This window comes from Homo sapiens, chromosome 3 (assembly GCF_000001405.40).
Source record: "Homo sapiens chromosome 3, GRCh38.p14 Primary Assembly".
Lineage (NCBI taxonomy): Eukaryota > Metazoa > Chordata > Mammalia > Primates > Hominidae > Homo > Homo sapiens.
In genome coordinates, this window is record NC_000003.12 from 19,898,657 (window position 1) to 19,918,142 (window position 19,486).

Here is a 19,486-nt window from a genome sequence, read left to right on the forward strand (position 1 = left end):
TTTTAAGTCTTTAAAATTAGAAGCTTTGAAATAAGGAGATGGTGAGCTTAACTGCATAACTTTGTGGGGATTTTGTTGCTGTTTGTTTGGGGTTTTTTACGGAGAAAGTGTGTATATTTACCATATTCCTCAGGACGGAGACAAGCTCCAAATGTGCAGTCTGGGGGAACATTCATTGTTTCTGCAATGCTATCAAAGAAAACAAATCCTTAGTTAAAATACCCACCACATGGCATCTCTGGAATTTAAAATATGTTTGCCATATGTTCTTAGTAGCCCATATTTTATCTCATAACCAAACTATGAAGATCAAACAAAAGTTCTCCAATAGATCTTTTGTCTGATCTTCCACTTGCATTAACAATGACTGAATGTTTTCACCCTCTTTCAGGAGCCCAGAATTACAAAGAAAAGCAGAACACACAGAACACATTCAAAGCAAAATTACCAAAGTATAAATAGAGAGCAAGACAGACAGACAGGAAAGACAAAGAAAAATATAAACACAGTAAGTTAAATCTCTGATATCCCAGAAATAATGCTTTATGCAAAATTATCCCTCTCTCTTCTCCAGTGCCTTCTGCATTTTGGAGAACTCACTGCTTTCCTGGAATCCCAAATTCTATAGATATTAACAGATTAACTGATTAACAATAAAATAATGATTTTCTTATTTAATAGATAGAATCTAATAGGCACACCAACAGTTACCACAAGAGTATTTTTTAAATTCTATGCAAAGAAACTATCAATTTGAAGTTAATCATTAACTTACGGATCTAAAACTCTTCCAAGTTTATGTTGAAACTTTTCTTTGAAATCATCTGCTCTTTTGGATACAAACTTAGCTCCTCTTTTCCTGCAAAATTAGAACATTATCAGGTATCTCTATTACCTAAAGTATTCTTGGCTGCCAAATATACATAAGGCGAAGAATACCATAGTATCATTAGGCCTTCCAGGAACAAATGTAGTTTCAAAAGAAACTCTCTGCTAAAAAGAAAGTTTTATGTGTTCATTTTTCTTTCATTTACACTAAAATAAAATAAACCTTGATTAATGAATAAGGTAAGCAAACAATATTTTTAATAAATAAAACAAGGTGTTAATATCACTATTGTAAGTGTAGCTCCTGGCCGGGCACAGTGGCTCACTGCTGTAATCCCAACACTTTGGGAGGCTGAGGTGGGCAGATGGCTTGAGCTCAGGAGTTTGAGACTAGCCTGGGCAACATGGCAAAACCCTGTCTCTTAAAAAAATACAAAAACTAGCTGGGCGTGGTGGCATGTACCTGTAGTCCCAGCTACTCGAGAGGCTGAGCTAGGAAGATCGCTTGAGACTGGGAGGCTGAGGTTGCAGTGAGCTGAGATGACGTCACTGTACTCCAGCCTGGGTGACAGAGTGAGACCCTGTCTCAAAAAAATAAAATAAAGTAAGTGTAACTCGTAAAATTGCTAGAAGAAAATTAAGCATCAGGCCAGGCACAGTGGTTCATGCCTGTAATCTCAATACTTTAGGAAGCTAAAGCTGGAGGATCAATCGAGGCTAGGAATTTGAGACGAGCCTGGGTAACATAGTGAGATCCCATCTCTACAAAAAATGAAAATAAAAATAAAAAAATTTAGCATCAAATAAATAAATAGCCAAAGGATATAAACAAATAACTCACATCTAGTAAGCAAATACATGGAGAATTTATAATACTCTCTAGTAATAAAATAAATGTAAAATAAAAGAATAACAAAGTGCCACTTCTAACCTAGTAAACAAGCAAATATATATAAGCATATGGAGAGAGAAAGAATATCTAACTTTGGCAAAAAAATATGGTAAAACACTTACAGATTGCTAGTGCAAATTCCTACAGTTCTTTTGAAAATAATTGGGCAATATGAATCAAAAAGCATAAAAACACTCATGCCCTTTTATCCACATCTGGGAACCAATAATAATGATATAATCCAGATAGCAATTAAAAATGTAGAAAAGAGCCTGGGCACGGTGGCTCATACCTGTAATCCCACCACTTTGGGAGGCTAAAGTGGGCAGATCACTTGAGGTCAGGAGTTCAAGACCAGCCTGACCAACATGGTGAAACCCCATCTCTACTAAAACTACAAAAATTAGCCAGGTGTGGTGGAACACGCCTGTAATCCCAGGTACTTGGGAGGCTGAGGCAGGACAGTCACTTGAACCTGGGAGTCAGAGGCTGCAGTAAGCCAAGATCATGCCACGGCACCCCAGCCTGGGCAACAAAGTGAGCCTGTCTCAAAAAAAAAAAAAATGTAGAAAAGTTATATGTATAAAAAATGTTTGTAGCCTCATTGATGACAGTGGAATAAAGAAAAGAATCAAAATGTTCAGTTGTGGAGGGTAATTAAATTCTGTCACATCAATAAGAATACACTGCATGCATTTTCAATGCTGGCATATACAGCAATATATAATTATTTTATGTTAGGTGGAAAACAGGATATAAAATGGGATTGCACTCTGGTAAAAACTATGCAAAAATCTACATAGGGAGCCACACTAGGAAAAAATACATTAAAATGATAATAATGGCTGAATTAAAGTGAACAGGATTATGAGCGATTTTATTTTGCCAGTTTTCTGTAAAATAATTTTGTTACTTCTACTGTTGTGATTAAATGAATAAAATTTCTTTTGAAACGTGTAAAATTACAACACTACTATTTAATAACATTAAAATTAATAAATTCTCTATTGTTTTGCTAAGACTAAAGACAATGAACATTACATTCTTAAAACTCCATTTGCTTTTCAAAGTATCTCCTGTACTATTGAACTACTGAGCTGAATAAATTTCTGGAGAAGAGTGACACTCTGTGGAGGAACAAAAGAAGAAACATAAGTAATTCATCTCGTTTCTTCATTTCCTTCCCATTTGTTGGCGGGGGGGAAGAATGTAGGTGGAGTCAGAATAAATCAATGCAGTTTAGGGCTATAACTTGAACAAACAGAGTTAACAATCTAAAAATCAGCTCCAGGCCAGGCGCAGCGGCTCACACCTGTAATCCCAGCACTTTGGGAGGTCGAAGCAGGTGGATCACCCTGAGGTCAGGAGTTCGAGATCAGCCTGGCCCACATGGCAAAACCCCATCTCTACTAAAAATACAAAAATTAGCCAGGCCTGGTGATGGGCACCTGTAATCCCAGCTACTTGGGAGGCTGAGGCAGGAGAATCGCTTGAACCCAGGAGGCAGAGGTTGCAGTGAGCCAAGATCACACCACTGCACTCCAGCCTGGGCAACAGAGTGAAACTCTGTCTCAAAAAAAAAAAAAAATCAGCTCCAAGGTACATAATTAGGAACATGCAGAGATGATAAGAAAAAGAACTGTCAGGCACAGAGCCAACTCTTTTTAGTCAAGAACTGCCTGGAGTATGCTTCTGCAACAATCAGGAAGTATCTGTGGGCAACCATGTATGTCAGAATATCAATAACTGCAACATCATTACACAACAATCTTGAGTTGCATTCACGAACCAACTCAGATAAAGCTCTTTGTGTGCCAGTGAATTCATTCGTTCACACATGCGCACAAACACATGCACTCGCACAGGCATGCCTACATCTGATGACTCAAACCAAAGTTTGATTTGACTTTGGTTTGATTATTCAAACCAAAGGTCACAGGCAAAATATAGATAGAGATCGTTTTTGTTTGTTTGTTTGTTTTTGTTTTTGTTTTTTGAGACAGAGTCTTGCTCTGTCACCCAGGCTGGAGTGCAATGGCGCCATCTCAGCTCACTTAAACCTCCACCTCCCGGGTTCAAGCGATTCTCCTGCCTCAGCCTCCCAAGTAGCTGGGACTACAGGTGCGTGCCACCACACTCAGCTAATTTTTGTATTTTTAGTAGAGACAGGGCTTCACTATGTGGCCAGGCTGGTCTCGAACTCCTGACCTTGTGATCTGCCTGCCTCAGCCTCCCAAAGTGCTGGGATTACAGGCATGAGCCACCATGCCCAGCCAATAGAGATCCTCTTTTACAGGGGAAATATATCCCATAAAAGTTGAGAGTAAACCAAATTTACATTAAATCGTGCATATAAAATTAGATGCCTCAAAATGTAGACTAACACTCTTGACTCCACGTTTGTAACAGAAATCAAACTGAATGAAGTAGTGAGCTCTTTTTAAACTGCAACCAAAAGAATAAAGAATTTCTCTACTGCTAGCAATAACATTCCAATTAAGTTTCAAAATACAAAAAGGGCTGGGCACAGTGGCTCACGCCTGTAATCCCAGCACTTTGGGAGGCTGAGGCGGGCGGATCACCTGAGGTCATGAGTTCAAGACCAGCCTGACGATCATGGTGAAACCCCATCTCTACTAAAAATACAAAAATTAGCCAGGCATGGTGGCACACACCTGTAATTCCTGCTACTCGGGAGGCTGAGGCACGAGAATTGCTTGAACCCAGAAGGCAAAGGTTGCAGTGAGCCGAGATCATGCCACTGCAATCTAGTCTGGGTGACAGAGGGAGACTCCATCTCAAAAAAAAAAAAAATACAAAATGTATGATCAAATAAAACACTGTTCCATAAACAGTGTCCTCTTGGGAGTAGAGACAAGTTGGAGGGAAGCATGCACTGCACACTGTTTGCCCTTATAAACTTTGTGTCTTTTTCTATGGCAACACTAAATCATTGATATTTGCTCTGCTCTTAGGATGTTCTTGAGGACCACATTGTTGTTAATGTGTTTACCTCATATGTTTTACAAACTGATAGCAAGTTTATATTTCTAACCCATTGAAAATGGATAAACCATATTTGTCTCCTTTTAAGTATCAATTTATTTATTATATTTAATTATAAATATCTGTAGTCCTTAAATATTTAAATAATATCTTCATACTTTACACATAGTTTAACCATTTTAATAATAATAATTAAGAAATATTTATTATGTAAATGCTTCATCCATATCCTAAATAAAAACTATCTCATACAGGGTTACTATGATACTGTAAAAATTTATTTTATGTGTGTGTTTTACCATCCTTATTTTGAATAATTCGAGTATCAGAAACTCATGTAATAAAGGAGTGAAAGAGGAATGGAAATCATTTTTGAAGCCCATAAAGAGGTGATCAAGAATAAAGTGCCTATAGATCTGGTGCAGTGGTTAGGGCTGCCTCTAGAGCCAATACTGCCTGGGTTTCATTCTTACCCCTGATACGTCTGAGCTGCATGATCTTAGGCAAATGATTTAACCCCTCTGTACCTCAGCTTTTTCACCTGTAAAATGGGAAGAATAAAAGTTATAATACACCTATCCTGTGGAGTTCTTAGTAGAATTAAACTAATAATATATAAAGTGCTCAGAATTTTGCCTCTATAACTGAGAGCTGTTATTGTCACAGAGACAAAATAGGCAAGAGTGAGGCAGGTTGGATACCTGCAGTAATGCTAAGTTTGTGTGCATGTTGGGCCTACGGAAACCTAGAGGGCCATTGTCTCCTTTAAAGAGGGCAGAGGTCAGAACAAATCTACCCCTATCATTGACAAATATGAATGCGAGGCCCATGCATTAGTTTCATGTGGTTGCTATAAGAAATTACCAAAAACTGATGGCGTAAAAAAATGTATTCTCTCACAGTCCTAGAAGCCAGAAGTCTGAAATCAAAGTGTCAGTAAGGCCACATTTCCTCTAACAGCTCTAGGGGAGAATTCATTTCTTGCTTTTTTTGTTGTTTTCCCTAGAGATGGTGTCTTGCTATGTTGCCCAGGCTGGCCTCAAGCTCCTGGGCTCAAGCCATTCTCCCACCTCAGCCTCCCAAAGCACTGGGACTACAGGCATATGCCACCACACCCAGCCCATTCTTTCCTTCTTCCAAAGTCTGATGGCTGTTGGCATTACTTCGCATTCCTTGGTTATAGGCACATCACACCAATGTCTATCTCCATCTTCACATACCTTCCCTTCTGCATGTCTTTTCCTCTTGTGTATCAAATTTTCTTCTTCCCCTCTATGGATACTGATCATTGGATTTAACATCCGCTCAGATAATCCAGAATGATCTCTTCATCCCAAGATCCTTAATTATATCTACAAAGACCCTTTTTCCACACAAAGTAACATTCATAGGTTCTGGCCATCAGGACATAGACATATCTTTTTGTGGAGGGCGGGGCGGCACCAGTATTTACAACGTTCAAACCATGGTACCAGTATCCACAATCTTCTGATTTTTTTAAGCATAACAAGATATCTAGACTTTTATGAGCAATCTTCCAAAGTTTATGTGTTGGCTCGGATATAAAATATAACGCAGGAAATGAAAAACTAATGACCCAATTTTGTTTTCTAAGGAAGTAGTCTTTACAGAATGAAGAGATAAAAAGGTCACAATTTGAAAAAGTTGAGTGATGCTCAGGTGCCCAAATAACTATTCAACAAAGCTGAATAACAAATATCAGGTCAAGACAGGATGGTTATTCATGCCTTTATTCCCAGCTATTCAGAAGGCTGAGGTGGATAGCTTGAGTCCAGGAGTTCAAGGTTGCAGTGAGCTATGAAGGCCCTACTGTACTCCAGCCTGAGCAATAGAGCAAGATGCTGTCTCAATAAATAAATAAATAAATTTCAAGTCAATTACAATTGTCTTGGTAGAGTTTTGAAAGTCCATTATATTTAAGAAACACAAATAAAGTTGATCCCAGAGAATTAAAACATGCATATATGTCTTTATGTTTGCTTGCAACTTCAGAATAAAGATAGAAAAAAAAAAGTATCATTTTTACCTCTGTAGGAACTAGATAGGATGGGTGTCAGAAGTGAAATACATTACACTGTTTTTTCTATTTTTTTCTAGTCATCTTGTTTGAACCATATCATTTTATTACCTCTTCAAAAAATAAAGTTTAAAAATCAACTTTTCTTTAAGTCCAAATGTCTAACACTTGTTCCTGGGCACAGTATAATTAAACTTACATTTGTAGTTCATGGAGCCAATATAGAGATTTTGCCATGGCTCGTCCATCATTAAAATGTGGTGTTGGTACTCCATACACACTACACCTATGGAAACTTGATGGGTTATACTTTCGGTTCTTTGCCTCTCCTGTGGAAAAAGAAAGGAAGACTTATGACTTAAGCAACACGAATAACCTTATCATGCAAGATGCACACTATGTTCTCATTGACATTGAAAATGAGAATGGAACAAAAAATGAAATTGTAACAGTGCAGAAACTGCACAGATTTAGCTACAGATGACAGAAGCATTCCCCCATGTGAGCTGGGAGACTGGTGGGATGCTACACACAACAATACGTTGTGTTAATATTTGAAAAGACATATGTAAAAAACTCCAAAGACTCCATCAAAAAACTGTTAGAACTAATGAATTTGGCTGGGCACAGTAGCTCATGCCTGTAATCCCAGCACTTTGTGAGGCCGAGACTGGTGGATCACTTGAGGCCAGGAGTTCGAGACCAGTTCACCAGTCTGGCCAACATGGTGAAACCGTGTCTTCTCTAAAAATTCAAAAATTAGCTGGTCATGATGGCATGCACCTGTAATCCCAGCTACTTCGGAGGCTGAGGCACGAGAATCGCTTGAACCCAGGAGGCGGAGGTTGTGGTAAGCCAAGATCGTGCCACTGCACTCCAGCCTGGGCAACAGAGTGAGGCTCTTTCTCAAAAAACAAAAGAACTAATAAGTGAATTAAGTAAAGTCAAAGAATACAAAATCAACACATAAAAGTCCATGGCATTTCTATAAAAAATAACAACCTAGACAAAAAAGAAATCAAGAAAATAATTCAATTTATGATAGCATAAAAAAATACTTAGGAATAAACTTAACCAAGGGGGTAAAAGACCTGTACACTGAAAACTATAAAACAATGATGAAAGAAATTGAAGAGGACACAAATAAAATGAAGATATTCATTCCATGCTCATTGATCAGAATAATTAATTTTCTTAAAATGTTCATACTACCCAAAGCAAAATGCAGATTCAATGTGATCCCTATCAAAATTCCAATAGCATTCTTCACAGAAATAGAAAAAAAAAAATCTTAAAAATTTATATAGAACCACAAAAGGCTCTGAATAGCCAAAGTAATTATTAGGAAAAAGAAAAAAGTTAGAGGCATCACACATCCTAAATTTAAATTATATTACAGAGCTGTAGTAATTAGAACAGTATGGTACTGGCATAAAAACAGACATACAGGCTAGTGGAACAGAATGGAGAGCCCAGAAATAAATCCAAACATATACAATACACTAATTTTCAACAAGGGCAGCAAGAAGAAATGACGACACAAGGATAGTCTCTTCAATAAATGGTCCTGGGAAACCTGATTTCCACATGCAACACCATACACAAAAATCAACTAAAAATAGATTAAAAAAAAAAAACTAAACGTTAAGACCTGAAACCATAAAACTCATAGAAGAAAAAATAGAGGAAAAACTTATTGACATTGGCCTTGGCAATGATGTCTTAGATACAAAAGCTCAGACTACAAAAGCAAAAATAAATAAATGAGACTACATCAAATTAAAAACCTTCTGCATAGCAAAGGAAACAATCACCAAAATGAAAAGGCAACCTATGAGTTGGGAAAAAAATATTTGCAAACTATGTATCTGATAGAGGGTTAATATTCAAAATTTATAGAAAATATGTAGCTCAATTCTTAAAATGGGTGAAGAACTTTAATATTTAGAAAGTAAGTAAGGACATTGTATGGGAAAAAGAGATATCAATGATGAAAAACTGCAGGGTCTCCACCATTGTTATGGAAATCCTGAAGATCAAGGGAGGTATGGCAATGATTTAGGTCTCTGGCAGCACTTTCCACTATGCTAAGATTTGAGAGGTTTGGTGTTTTGCACTTGTTCTCACTGAGATTTGGTGCGATCATCAGAACATTGCGACCCTCATATTTCATTTACCTCATATTAGAAACATTCAAAGGGTGATTGAGAGCTGAGAAACCAACAGAGGAGTCTTTTTATTTAAAACTGAATACTGTGCTTTTTTCTTTTCAAGTCTTGATGTGGTATTAGTTTTCTATTTCGAGATAAGAAAGTAGGACTGAAACTAGAGAACAACCAAGAGGGTAAGAAATGTTGGAGTAAAGATATTCAGCCTCACTAGTAACTCAAATAATGTAAATAAAAACAGTAAATGTCTTGTTATTGAAGTAACAAGAAATTATAATTGTCTCTTAGTTAAGCAAAAATAAAGAAGATTGGCTGAGCTCATTATTGGGAAGGGTGTGGAGAAATGGATATTCTCATACTCTGGGTCTAAGGGCAAATTGGGCAGTAATTTGAGCTGACAGTTTGGCTCTAAAAGTAAAAATTTCTCAGAAATCTAGGAATGTAACTTAAGGAAATAGCCAATCACATTTACAAAGGTATATCAACAATATGTTTTTGTAATAGTGAAAATATAATGTAGATACTGACATGAAAAGACATTCCAAAATATTTCATAAGACAAAAAAAGCAAAAGGAAAAATGTATATATGATGTGGAACAAAATGAACATACATACTGATATATACAAAAGTGCAAAGAAAAACATCTATGAACATATTATCGGCTGGGCGCAGTGGCTCACGCCTGTAATCCTAGCACTTTAGGAGGCCAAGGCAGATGGATCGCCTGAGATTAGAAGTTCGAGACCAGCCTGACCAACACGGTGAAACCCAGTCTCTACTAAAAATACAGAAATTAGCCAGGCATGGTGGCGGGCGCCTGTAATCCCAGCTACTTGGGAGGCTGAGGCAGGAGAATTGCTTGAACCCAGGAGGCAGAGGTTGCAGTGAGCCGAGATCAGGCCACTTCACTCCAGCCTGGACGAAAGAGCAAAACTCCGTCTCAAAAAAAGAAAGAAAGAGAGAAAGAGAGAAAGAGAGAGAGAGAGAGAGAGAGAGAGAGAGAGAGAGAGAAAGAAAGAAAGAAAGAAAGAAAGAAAGAAAGAAAGAAAGAAAGAAAGAAAGAAAAAGAAAGTTCTGTGTGAGATAGAGAATTGTGGGAATTTTTTGTATATTGTATATTTCTGTATAGCTTTCATTTTATAAAAGTATCTATCACTTTAGTAATGATTAAAATTAAGTTATTTTAAAGTATTAAGTGTATTTTAAATGTTGTAGGTCCATATTTATTGCTATCTACATATTATTTAAGTAAAAAATTTAAAATATATAGAGCAGGCTCCCTAAAAGCATGGAGAGTATTATCCCATTTATTTAATGATTAATGATTTAATGGCTGAATGGATGGGGGTTAGAAAAAATGTTCAGAGAGAGGAAGTGGAGCAAGACGGCAGAATAGAAAGCTCCACTGATCATGTCCCAGTCCCGTGTCCCAGACCCACACCCGCCCCCCACCCCCTACAAGGACCAAGTTGACAACTATCTACACAGATATGAGTGCCCATCTCAAAAATCAGGTGGGCAACTCATAGTACTTGATTTTAACTTCATAGCACTGAAAAAAAAAAGGCACTCAAGAGATAGAAAAAATAGTTTTGAATCACAGACACCACCCCTCCCCAACCCCGGCAGCAGCAGAGTGATGGGCAGAGCTTCTCCTGGCACCAGGGCAGGGAGAACACAGCAATTGTGAGGTATCAAACTCAGTGCTTTCCTGTTAGAGCAGAATGGAAAACTGAACCAAACTCAGCTGATGCCCGTCCCCAGAGGCAGCATTTAAATCAGCCCCACCAGAAAAGGAATTGCCAATCCCAGTAGTCCAAACTTGAGTGCCTGCAAACCTCGCCACCAAGGGCTACAGCACTCTGTGTCTCCAAGTAACCTTGAAAGGCAGTCTAGGCCATAAGGACTGGAACTCTTAGGCGACTCCCAGAGCAGAACCAGGCCCAGAGACAGTGGACTGGGGGTGGGGTAGGTGGTGGGATACATGTCATACTGGGACACCAGCTGGGGCAGCCAAGGGAATGCTGGCATCACCCCTCCCTTAACCCCAGGCTGCACAGCTCCGCTCATGGCTCCAAAAGGGACCCCTTCCTTCCGCTTGAGGAGAGGAGAGGGAAGAGCAGGGAAGACTTCACCTTGCATCTAGGACACCACCTCAGCCACAGCAAGATAGGGCACTGTGGGACTCAGGAGGCCGCCATTCCAGGCCCTGGTTTGCAGATGACGTTTCTAGACACATCCGGGGCCAAAAGGATGTGTCTTTCCTTCACTGCCTTGAAGGAAAGAACCCAATCCTGGCAGCATTCATCACCTGCTAACCGAAGAGCTCTTGGGCCCTGAATAACCAGCTGCAGTTATTCAGGGCCCAGGTAGTATATCAAGGGCCTTGGGTAAGCCTCTGAGACTTCCTGGCTTCAGAAGAGACTTAGCACATTACCAGCTGTGGTAGCTACAGAGCAAAACTCCTTCTGCTTGAGAAAAGTAGAGGGAAAAGTAAGGGGAACTTTGTCCTACACCTTGGGTACCAGCATGGCCACAGGGGAGCAGAGCACGAAGCAGGCTCTTAGGGTTCCTGATTCCAGGACTTGGCTCTTGAATAGCATTTCTAGACCTGCTCTGGGCCATAGAGGAATCCACTTCCCTGAAGGGTAAGTCCCAGGCCATTAACTTCAAGCTGACTTAAGAGACCTTGGGCCTTAAGAGAACATTGGTGGTAGTCTGGCAGTATTCCTCATGGCCTGGGGTGGCGGTGGCTACCCAGTGAGGTTCCTCTGTCTTTGGGAGGGGGAGGGAAGAGTGGGAAAGACTGTATCTTGTGGTTTGAGTGCCAGCTCAGCTGCAATACAGTAGAATACCTGGTAGACGTCTAAAATTTTTGACTCTAGTCCTTGACTCCCAGACAGTACTTCTGTACCCACCCAGGGCCTGGGGGACCTCACCACCCTGAAGGGAAGGACACAGGCCTGGCTGGCTTTACCACCTGTTAATTGTAGAGCCCCAGGACCTTGAGTGAACGTAGGCTGCAGCCAGAGGTTGAGTACAGCAGGACTTGGGTGAGACCAAATGCTACACTAGCTTCAAGTCTGATCCAATACAGTCAGCAGTGGTGGCCACAGGGGTACTTGTGTCACTCAACCCCCAGCTTTAGGTGGCTCAGAACCGAGAGAAAGACTGTATGTTTAGGAGAAAGTAAAGGAAAAGAACATGAGCCTCTGCCTTGTAACCCAGGGAATTCTCCCAGATCTTGTCCAAGTCCATCAAGGCAGTACCTCTACAAGTTTGCAAAAACCAGTGTTACTGGGCTTGGGGTGCCCCCTAAAGCAGATACAGCTTAGATCACAACACACAAGTCCTTTCAAATATCTGGAAAGCATTTCCAAGATGAATGGGTACAAATAAGCACAGACAGTGAGGACTACAATAAATACCTAACTGTTCAATGCCAGACACCAAGGAACATCTACAAGCATCAGCACCATCTAGGAAAATATGACCTCACTAAATAAACTAAATAAGACACCAAGGAACAATCATGGAGCAACAGAGCTATATGTCCTTTCAGATAGAGAATTCAAAATAGCTGTGTTGAGGAAACTCAAATAAATTTAAGATAACACAGAGAAGGAATTCAAAATTCTATCAGGTAAATTTAAGAAAGAGACTGAAATAATTAAAAAGAATCAAGCAAAGGCCAGGCGTGGTAGCTCACACCTGTAATCTGAGCACTTTGGGAGGCCAAGGTGGGTAGATCACTTAAGGCCAGGAGTTCAAGACCAGCCTGGCCAACATGGTGAAACCCCATCTCTACTAAAAATATAAAAATTAGCCAGGCGTGATGGTGCCTGTAATCCCTGCTACTGAGGAGGCTGAGACAGGAGAATCACTTGAACCTGGGAGGCAGAGGTTGCAGTGAGCCAAGAGCACACCACTGGACTCCAGCCTGAGCAACAGAGTGAGACTCCATTTCAAAAAACAAAAACAAAACAACAACAACAAACAAAAACAAAAAGAATCAAGCAGAAATTCTGGAACTGAAAAATTCAATTGACAAACTGAAAAGTACATCAGTCTCTCAACAGCAGAATTGATCAAGCAGAAGAAAGAGTTAATGAGCTTGCAGAGAGGCTATTTGAAAATACAATCAGAGAAGACAAAAGAAAAAAAATTTAAAGAATGAAGTACAACTAAAAGATACAGAAAAATAGTCTAAAAGGGGCAAATCTAAGAGTTATTGGCCTTGCCAAGCATGGTGGCTCACATTTGTAATCCCAGTACTTTGGGAGGCCAAGGTGCAAAGATCACTTGAGCCCAGGAATTCGAGACTAGCCTGAGCAACATAGTGAGACTAAATTTATTATTATTTTTTATTTTTTAATTTTATTTTATTTTTAAAGTTATTGCCCTTAAGGAGAAAATAGAGAAAGAGATAGGAGTAGAAAGTTTATTCAAAGGGATAACAGAGAACTTCCCAAACCTAGAGAAAGATATCAATATCCAAGTACAAGAAGGTTATAGAACACCAAGCAGATTTAACCCAAAGAAGACTACCTCAAGACATTGAATAATCCAACTCCCAAAGGTCAAGGATGAAGAAAGGAATCTAAAAGCAGTGAGAGAAAAGAAACAACATACAATGGAGCTTCAATAAATCTGGCAGTAGACTTTTCAGTGGAAACTTTACAGTCCAGGAGAGAGTGCCATGACATATTTAAAGTGCTGAAGAGAAGAAACTTTTATTCTAGAATAGTATATCTTATCTGCTGAAAATATCCTTCACACATGATGAAGAAATAAAGACTCTCACAGGCCAAAAAAAAAGCAGAGGGATTTCATAAATACCAGACCTGTCCTACAAGAAATGCTTAAGGGAGTACTTCAATTTCAATCAGAAAGAAAAATAATAATAATAAGCAATGAATAATCACCTGAAGGTGCAAAACTCACTGATAATAGTAAGCACACAGAAACACACAGAGTAGTATAACACCGTAACTGTGGTATCCAAACTACTCTTATCCCGAGTAGATAGACTAAACAATCAACCAATCAAAAATAGTAACTACAACAACTTTTCAAGACATAGAGATTATAATAAGATATAAATAGAAACAACAGGGTTAAAAAGTTAAGGGGAGAAAGTTAAGGCATAGAGTTTTTATTTTATTTTTCTTTGTTGTTTGTTTATGCAAATAGTGTTAAGTTGTTATCAGGTTAAAATAATGGGTTTAAGATAATATTTGCAAGTCTCATGGGATTTATCTCTGGGACCCAAGTATTTTTCAGCATATGCAAATCAATCAATGGGATATATCATATCAACAGAATGAAGAGTAAAAAACCATATGATCATTTCAATTTATGCTGAAAAAGCATCTGATAAAATTCAACATCCCTTCAACATTAGCAGTGGCTAATGCCTGTAATAATAATAGTAGCAATTCAACATTAGCAGTGGCTAATGCCTGTAATAATAAAAACCCTCAACACACTGGATATAGAAGGAACACACCTCAACATAATAAAAGCCGTATACAACAGAACCCCAGCTAGTATGATACTGAATGGGGAAAGACTGAAAGTTCTTCCTTCATACTGGAAGTCCAAGCTAGAGCAACCAGACAAGAGAAAGATATGAAGGGCATGCAAATTGGAAAGAAAGAGGCCAAATTACCCTTATTTGCAGATGATATGATCTTATATTTAGAAAAACCTAAAGACTCCACAAGAAAACTATTAGAACTGATAAATTCAGTAAAGTTACAAGATACAAAATAAACATACAAAAATCAGTAGCATTTCTATATACCAACAGTGAATGATGTGAAAAAGAAATTTAAAAAGTAATCCCATGTATTAAACACAATAGCCACACATAAAATTAAATATCTAGGAATTAACTTAATCAAAGATTTCTATAATGAAAACTATAAAACACTGATGAAAGAAATTGAGCAGGACACCAAAAAATCAAAAACTATTTTATGTTCATGGATTGGAAGAATCAATATTGTTAAAATGTCCATACTACCAAAAGCAATCTACAGATTCAATGCAAACCCTACCAAATTACCAATGACATCCTTCACACAAATATTTTAAAAAATCCTAAAGTGTATATGAAACCACAAAATACCCAGAATAGCCAAAGTAAAAAGATCAAAACTAGAGTAATCACATTACTTGACTTCAAATTATACTATAGAGCTATAGTAACCAAAACAGCATGGTACTAGCAGAAAAACAGACACATAGACCAATGGAACAGAATAAAGAATCCAAACAAATCCATACACCTAGAGTGAACTCATTTTTGGCAAAGGTGCCAAGAACATACACTGAGGAAAAGAGAGTCTCTTCAATAAATGGTGCTGGGAAAACTGGATATTCATCTGCCCAAGCCTAGAGTGCAGTAGTGCAATCGTGGCTCACTGCAACCTGGAACTACTGGGCTCAAACAATCCTCCCATCTCAGCCTCCCAAGTAGCTGGAACTACAGACACGCACCACCATGCCTGACTAATTTTTTAATTTATTTTTTGTAGATAGAGATTCTCACTATGTTGCCCAGGCTGGTCTCAAACTCCTGGGCTCAAGTGATCCGGCGCTGAGATTACAAGAGTGAGCCACCGCACCCAGACCAAAGTTCTTTTAAAACAATTAAAGAGCATTGGATTAGACTGTGCAATAGACATGAAATTTTTCAAACGTGAATAAAATATTTTCACAAGACTGAGTTTATAAACCATGCACAATCCATAGGGCTTTCTCAGGACGTGTATCAGTCTACTTCTCAATCCTTTATTATGTCAAGACTTTACTTAGCATCAACATACTGGCAATTGAGTTTTATTTTATAGCACTATAAACATCTAATGCCTTTTTAATTGTGCTATGGAATAATTCTAGTAATACGCTACTAGACATGAAACTTTAAGACAAGATCGCTAATAATAATAATAATAATAGCTAATAATTATCAGCACTTAACTCTGTTCCAGGTGCTATGTTAAGCATCTGACATCTACTCAATCCTCACTATATTACTATACCCATTTAAGAGATAAGAATATATAATGATCAAATAAGTAAATTGCCCAAATTTTAAAAGATAGTAAATGGATGAGCTAGGATTTGAACCTGATCTGATTCAAAAATTTGTGAACTTGACCATCACCCAATATTCTTAATATAAAATTAAGCATTTAGAATAAGTCTTGAGCTGAGTGCAGTGGTGCATGCCTGTAATCCCAGCACTTTCGGAGGCCAAGGTGGGAGGATCGCTTGAGCTCAGGAGTTTCAGAACAGCGTGGACAACATAGGAAGACCTCATATCTATTTAAAAACTCAAAAAATTAGCCAGGCGTGGTGGTGCACACCTGTAGTCTCAGCTGTTCAGGAGGCTAAGGTGGAAGGATTGCTTGAGCCTAGGAGGTGGAGACTGCAATGAACCATGATCATACCACTGCACTCCAACATGGGCAACAGAGACCCCTGTCTAAAAAAAAAAATTTAAATAAAATTTTTTTAAAAACCGTAAGTATATGCAGTACAGGTTTTCCCAGCTATCATGGTTTATGACCTTATGAATAATATTGTATTAGTTACCTATTACATGGCAGGCATTTAACTTTATGTACCAATTTCCTTTATTCCTCTTCACAAATCCGAGAGTCCCATATCCTCAGGCCCATTTTGCATCGGAGGACACTTACCTGCATAATAATCATTGTGAGAAACAACATACAAATCATGTCCTTCATTTCCTTCTTTAAATACTTCTTCATAGGATTTTGGTGGATTCACCACATCTTTAGCAGAGTATTCTGAAGGAAGAATTAATAAAATCAGTTCCAAGTCACTTTTTAACCTATTTATAATACGTTTATATTGACTAGAACAAATGAGAAATTAGGTATGCTGGATGCAAGGCTACATAGACATCCCGAGAGATCACAAAGCCAACATAAATGATTTATCAAGAAAGGGAAGCCCACTTGACCTGGCTCATCCCCTATAAGTCAGAGCATATTAGAACTCTATTATCACTGGCTGGGAGCAATGGCTCACGTGTGTAATCTCAGCACTTTGGGAGGCCAAGGAGGGTGGATCACCTGAAGTCAGGAGTTCGAGATCAGCCTGGCCAACATGGTGAAACCCCATTTCTACTAAAAAAAAAAAAAAAATCCAGCCTGGACAACATGGTGAAACGCCATCTCTACTGAAAATACAAAAATTAGCCAGGTGTGGAAGCACGTGCCTGTGGTCCCAGCTACTTTACTCAGGAGGCTGAGGCAGAAGAATTACTTGAATCCGGGAGGTGGAGGTTGCAGTGAGCCGAGATGGCACCACTGTACTCCAGCCTGGGCAACAGAGCGAAACTTTCATCTCAAAAAAAAACTATATTATCAGTTAACTGTTTAGTTGTGGTAAGCCATACTCCAAGCACAGTTAAATTCCTGATCCTGAGAATCTCTGTACAATTTTTATTTTAGTTTGCTGCAGACTTCTCAAGATGATCTAAACAAATCTGAACCACAAATTAGAACCCCTAATGCCCTGTGGGGTAGCCATGGTGTAAATTTTGGCAGTTTTAGATGGAAGCATACACCCTGTGTCTGTTTTGATCTGAATCTGTATTCCCAGGCTGGGCTCAGTGGCTCAGGCCTGTAATCCCAGCACTTTGGGAGGCTGAGGTGGGTGGATCATCTGGGGTCGGGAGTTCAAGACCAGCCTGAGCAACATGGTGAAACCCTGTCTCTACTAAAAATACAAAAATTAGACAGGCGTGGTGGCACACGCCTGTAATCCCAGCTACTCGGGGGGCTGAGGCAGGAGAATCGCTTGAACCTGGGAGGCAGAGGTTGCAGGGAGCCAAGATCACGACACTGCACTCCAGCCTGGGCAACAGAGTGAGACTCCGTCTCAAAAAAAAAATTAATTCATTAATTAATTAATTTAAAAAATGAATCTGTATCCTCAATGTAGCCAGAGGTACCAGGGAAATCACTGGAATCAGGGAGAAATTCTTCTACTGGTCCTAAATCTGGAAAAGATGTTTGTTTAATAGCTGCATTCCCATGACTAGTGGTACCCAGTTTTGTGTACAGTGAATAATTTTGTTTTTACTGTTTTAGATAATAATTTGTAAATGTAACTCCATTTACAATTTCACTCTTCCCTTTCGACCTAACAACATAGATTAAGAAATTTCCTTTCTTTTGGCCTTTCTGCTAAGAATTGAGTTATATAAACGAATAGTTAAGAATACCAGAAGATGATTCCAATCAAAATAATCCTGTAAAGCAGAACTTCTTTTTGATATATGAACATTACACTTAATAATACAGATATATACATTTTTTGAAACATTGTTTCTTTTATATATTTAAATGAGGAACACTTAGAGAATACTTTCCACATTAAATAAACTAATCCTAAAATAATGCCATGTCTAACAGTTCATATACATCGGATTTCTTAAACCTATCGAAAAGAAGAGGCAGGGAATAGTCACTCACACCTGTAATCCCAGCAGTCTGGGAGGCCAAGGTGGGAGAATCATTTGAGTCCAGGAGCTTGAGACCAGCCTGGAAACATGGTGAGACCCCAGCCTCTATATAAATATAAATATATATAGTTTATAAATATAAATATATATGTTTCATATATATAGAAACATAAAAAGGAAAGGATATTTAATCTACTGTAAAATACATTTTTCATGTGTCATATTTTTTAAAACTTCAGATATGATGCAATAAGGTACAACTCCAGATTTTACATTCCAAAGTATAATCTATCTTCAGAGTAGATGTCACTACCTTAAGGAAAATAATCTAATGAGCCTTTCGGTGAACAAAGCTAAGGTTCCTGGAAGAGAGCCTCAATGGGTATGGAAAGACAAAGAGAGAATTTCTCCACAAAATAAAGAAAGATGGAATTTGAGATCTCCTATGGTAAGACTCCTAGAGGGAGGGGATAACCTGAAAAAGAGTAGAGGAGAGAAATCTGAGAAAGGTGTAAAGAAAGGTACCCAACAACATGGCAGGAACCTGGGTCTTCAGAGGGAAGAATGGCCTGTGATCAACTCTAATGAGTTATTTGTTGAATGATGGTACTCTACTCCCTCTCAAAATCAGAGTGGAAGTCAACTATGCACTCTGCTCTGTATTTGGTTAGTACGCAGGTAGACCTCACGGATCTGCATGAATGGAGTGCAGTATACAGCATTTACCATACTTATCTGTGCCATGAACTCTGTTGCATAAAGAGTTCGGAGTCATGAACACATGTGAAGCACTGATGGAAATGAAACACACAAATGGATGTCCAAGGCAAAGGGATTGTAGTTCTCTAGCTAGCCCCAGAGCCAATTTTTGTTGAGTTCTTTCCTGTCTTTACACCATGCCTACTATGCTCACTATATCTGGACTCCAATACCTGAATTTTTCCTGCCTCTGCATACATACACGTCAAGGATTTTGGTTCTGAGAGTAACTTTCTTGCAACAATCCCATCTTTCCTTCTTGAGTCATCGTTTACACCATCACCA

The 19,486-nt window shown here is 38.7% G+C and overlaps 1 protein-coding gene across 7 annotated transcripts in view, besides 9 other annotated features; it reads right to left on the bottom strand.

The window, feature by feature from the left end:
• Nucleotides 1-19,486, bottom strand: part of EFHB (EF-hand domain family member B) — a 67,512-nt gene that overhangs the window by 19,185 nt on the left and 28,841 nt on the right. For 6 of the 7 annotated variants that reach the window (XR_940383.3, NM_001330688.2, XM_011533385.3 and 3 more), the window contains 4 exons: nucleotides 16,647-16,757; nucleotides 6,964-7,093; nucleotides 776-859; nucleotides 122-189 (listed from right to left, as the gene is read on the bottom strand). Coding sequence is in view for 6 of the 7 variants with exons in the window: in NM_001330688.2 (NP_001317617.1) it covers nucleotides 122-189; nucleotides 776-859; nucleotides 6,964-7,093; nucleotides 16,647-16,757 (393 nt within the window). In the remaining variant the exon portion in view is untranslated. Of the gene's footprint in view, nucleotides 1-121; nucleotides 190-775; nucleotides 860-4,980; nucleotides 5,268-6,963; nucleotides 7,094-16,646; nucleotides 16,758-19,486 lie in introns of those variants that run through there. The other variant, XM_017005742.3, reaches the window with a different exon arrangement.
• Nucleotides 4,532-4,701: an enhancer, noted in NCBI's record as "experimental_67675 CRE fragment used in MPRA reporter constructs". NCBI's record gives its function as "activates a minimal promoter by MPRAs in K562 erythroleukemia cells, with activity observed for both the introgressed and non-introgressed 3:19944765 variant alleles {active_cell/tissue: K562}" and the evidence as "EXISTENCE:reporter gene assay evidence [ECO:0000049][PMID:34662402]".
• Nucleotides 7,273-7,442: an enhancer, noted in NCBI's record as "experimental_67680 CRE fragment used in MPRA reporter constructs". NCBI's record gives its function as "activates a minimal promoter by MPRAs in K562 erythroleukemia cells, with activity observed for the introgressed 3:19947506 or rs56004950 variant allele {active_cell/tissue: K562}" and the evidence as "EXISTENCE:reporter gene assay evidence [ECO:0000049][PMID:34662402]".
• Nucleotide 7,358: a transcriptional cis regulatory region, noted in NCBI's record as "Neanderthal adaptively introgressed variant 3:19947506 (GRCh37/hg19 assembly coordinates) or rs56004950 in the experimental_67680 CRE". NCBI's record gives its function as "modulates activity of the experimental_67680 enhancer by MPRAs in K562 erythroleukemia cells {active_cell/tissue: K562}" and the evidence as "EXISTENCE:reporter gene assay evidence [ECO:0000049][PMID:34662402]".
• Nucleotides 10,010-10,179: an enhancer, noted in NCBI's record as "experimental_67685 CRE fragment used in MPRA reporter constructs". NCBI's record gives its function as "activates a minimal promoter by MPRAs in K562 erythroleukemia cells, with activity observed for the introgressed 3:19950243 variant allele {active_cell/tissue: K562}" and the evidence as "EXISTENCE:reporter gene assay evidence [ECO:0000049][PMID:34662402]".
• Nucleotides 10,993-11,162: an enhancer, noted in NCBI's record as "experimental_67687 CRE fragment used in MPRA reporter constructs". NCBI's record gives its function as "activates a minimal promoter by MPRAs in K562 erythroleukemia cells, with activity observed for both the introgressed and non-introgressed 3:19951226 variant alleles {active_cell/tissue: K562}" and the evidence as "EXISTENCE:reporter gene assay evidence [ECO:0000049][PMID:34662402]".
• Nucleotides 10,993-11,197: a biological region, named in NCBI's record as "Neanderthal introgressed variant-containing enhancers experimental_67687 and experimental_67689".
• Nucleotides 11,028-11,197: an enhancer, noted in NCBI's record as "experimental_67689 CRE fragment used in MPRA reporter constructs". NCBI's record gives its function as "activates a minimal promoter by MPRAs in K562 erythroleukemia cells, with activity observed for both the introgressed and non-introgressed 3:19951261 variant alleles {active_cell/tissue: K562}" and the evidence as "EXISTENCE:reporter gene assay evidence [ECO:0000049][PMID:34662402]".
• Nucleotides 16,091-16,260: an enhancer, noted in NCBI's record as "experimental_67692 CRE fragment used in MPRA reporter constructs". NCBI's record gives its function as "activates a minimal promoter by MPRAs in K562 erythroleukemia cells, with activity observed for both the introgressed and non-introgressed 3:19956324 variant alleles {active_cell/tissue: K562}" and the evidence as "EXISTENCE:reporter gene assay evidence [ECO:0000049][PMID:34662402]".
• Nucleotides 16,762-16,931: an enhancer, noted in NCBI's record as "experimental_67694 CRE fragment used in MPRA reporter constructs". NCBI's record gives its function as "activates a minimal promoter by MPRAs in K562 erythroleukemia cells, with activity observed for the introgressed 3:19956995 variant allele {active_cell/tissue: K562}" and the evidence as "EXISTENCE:reporter gene assay evidence [ECO:0000049][PMID:34662402]".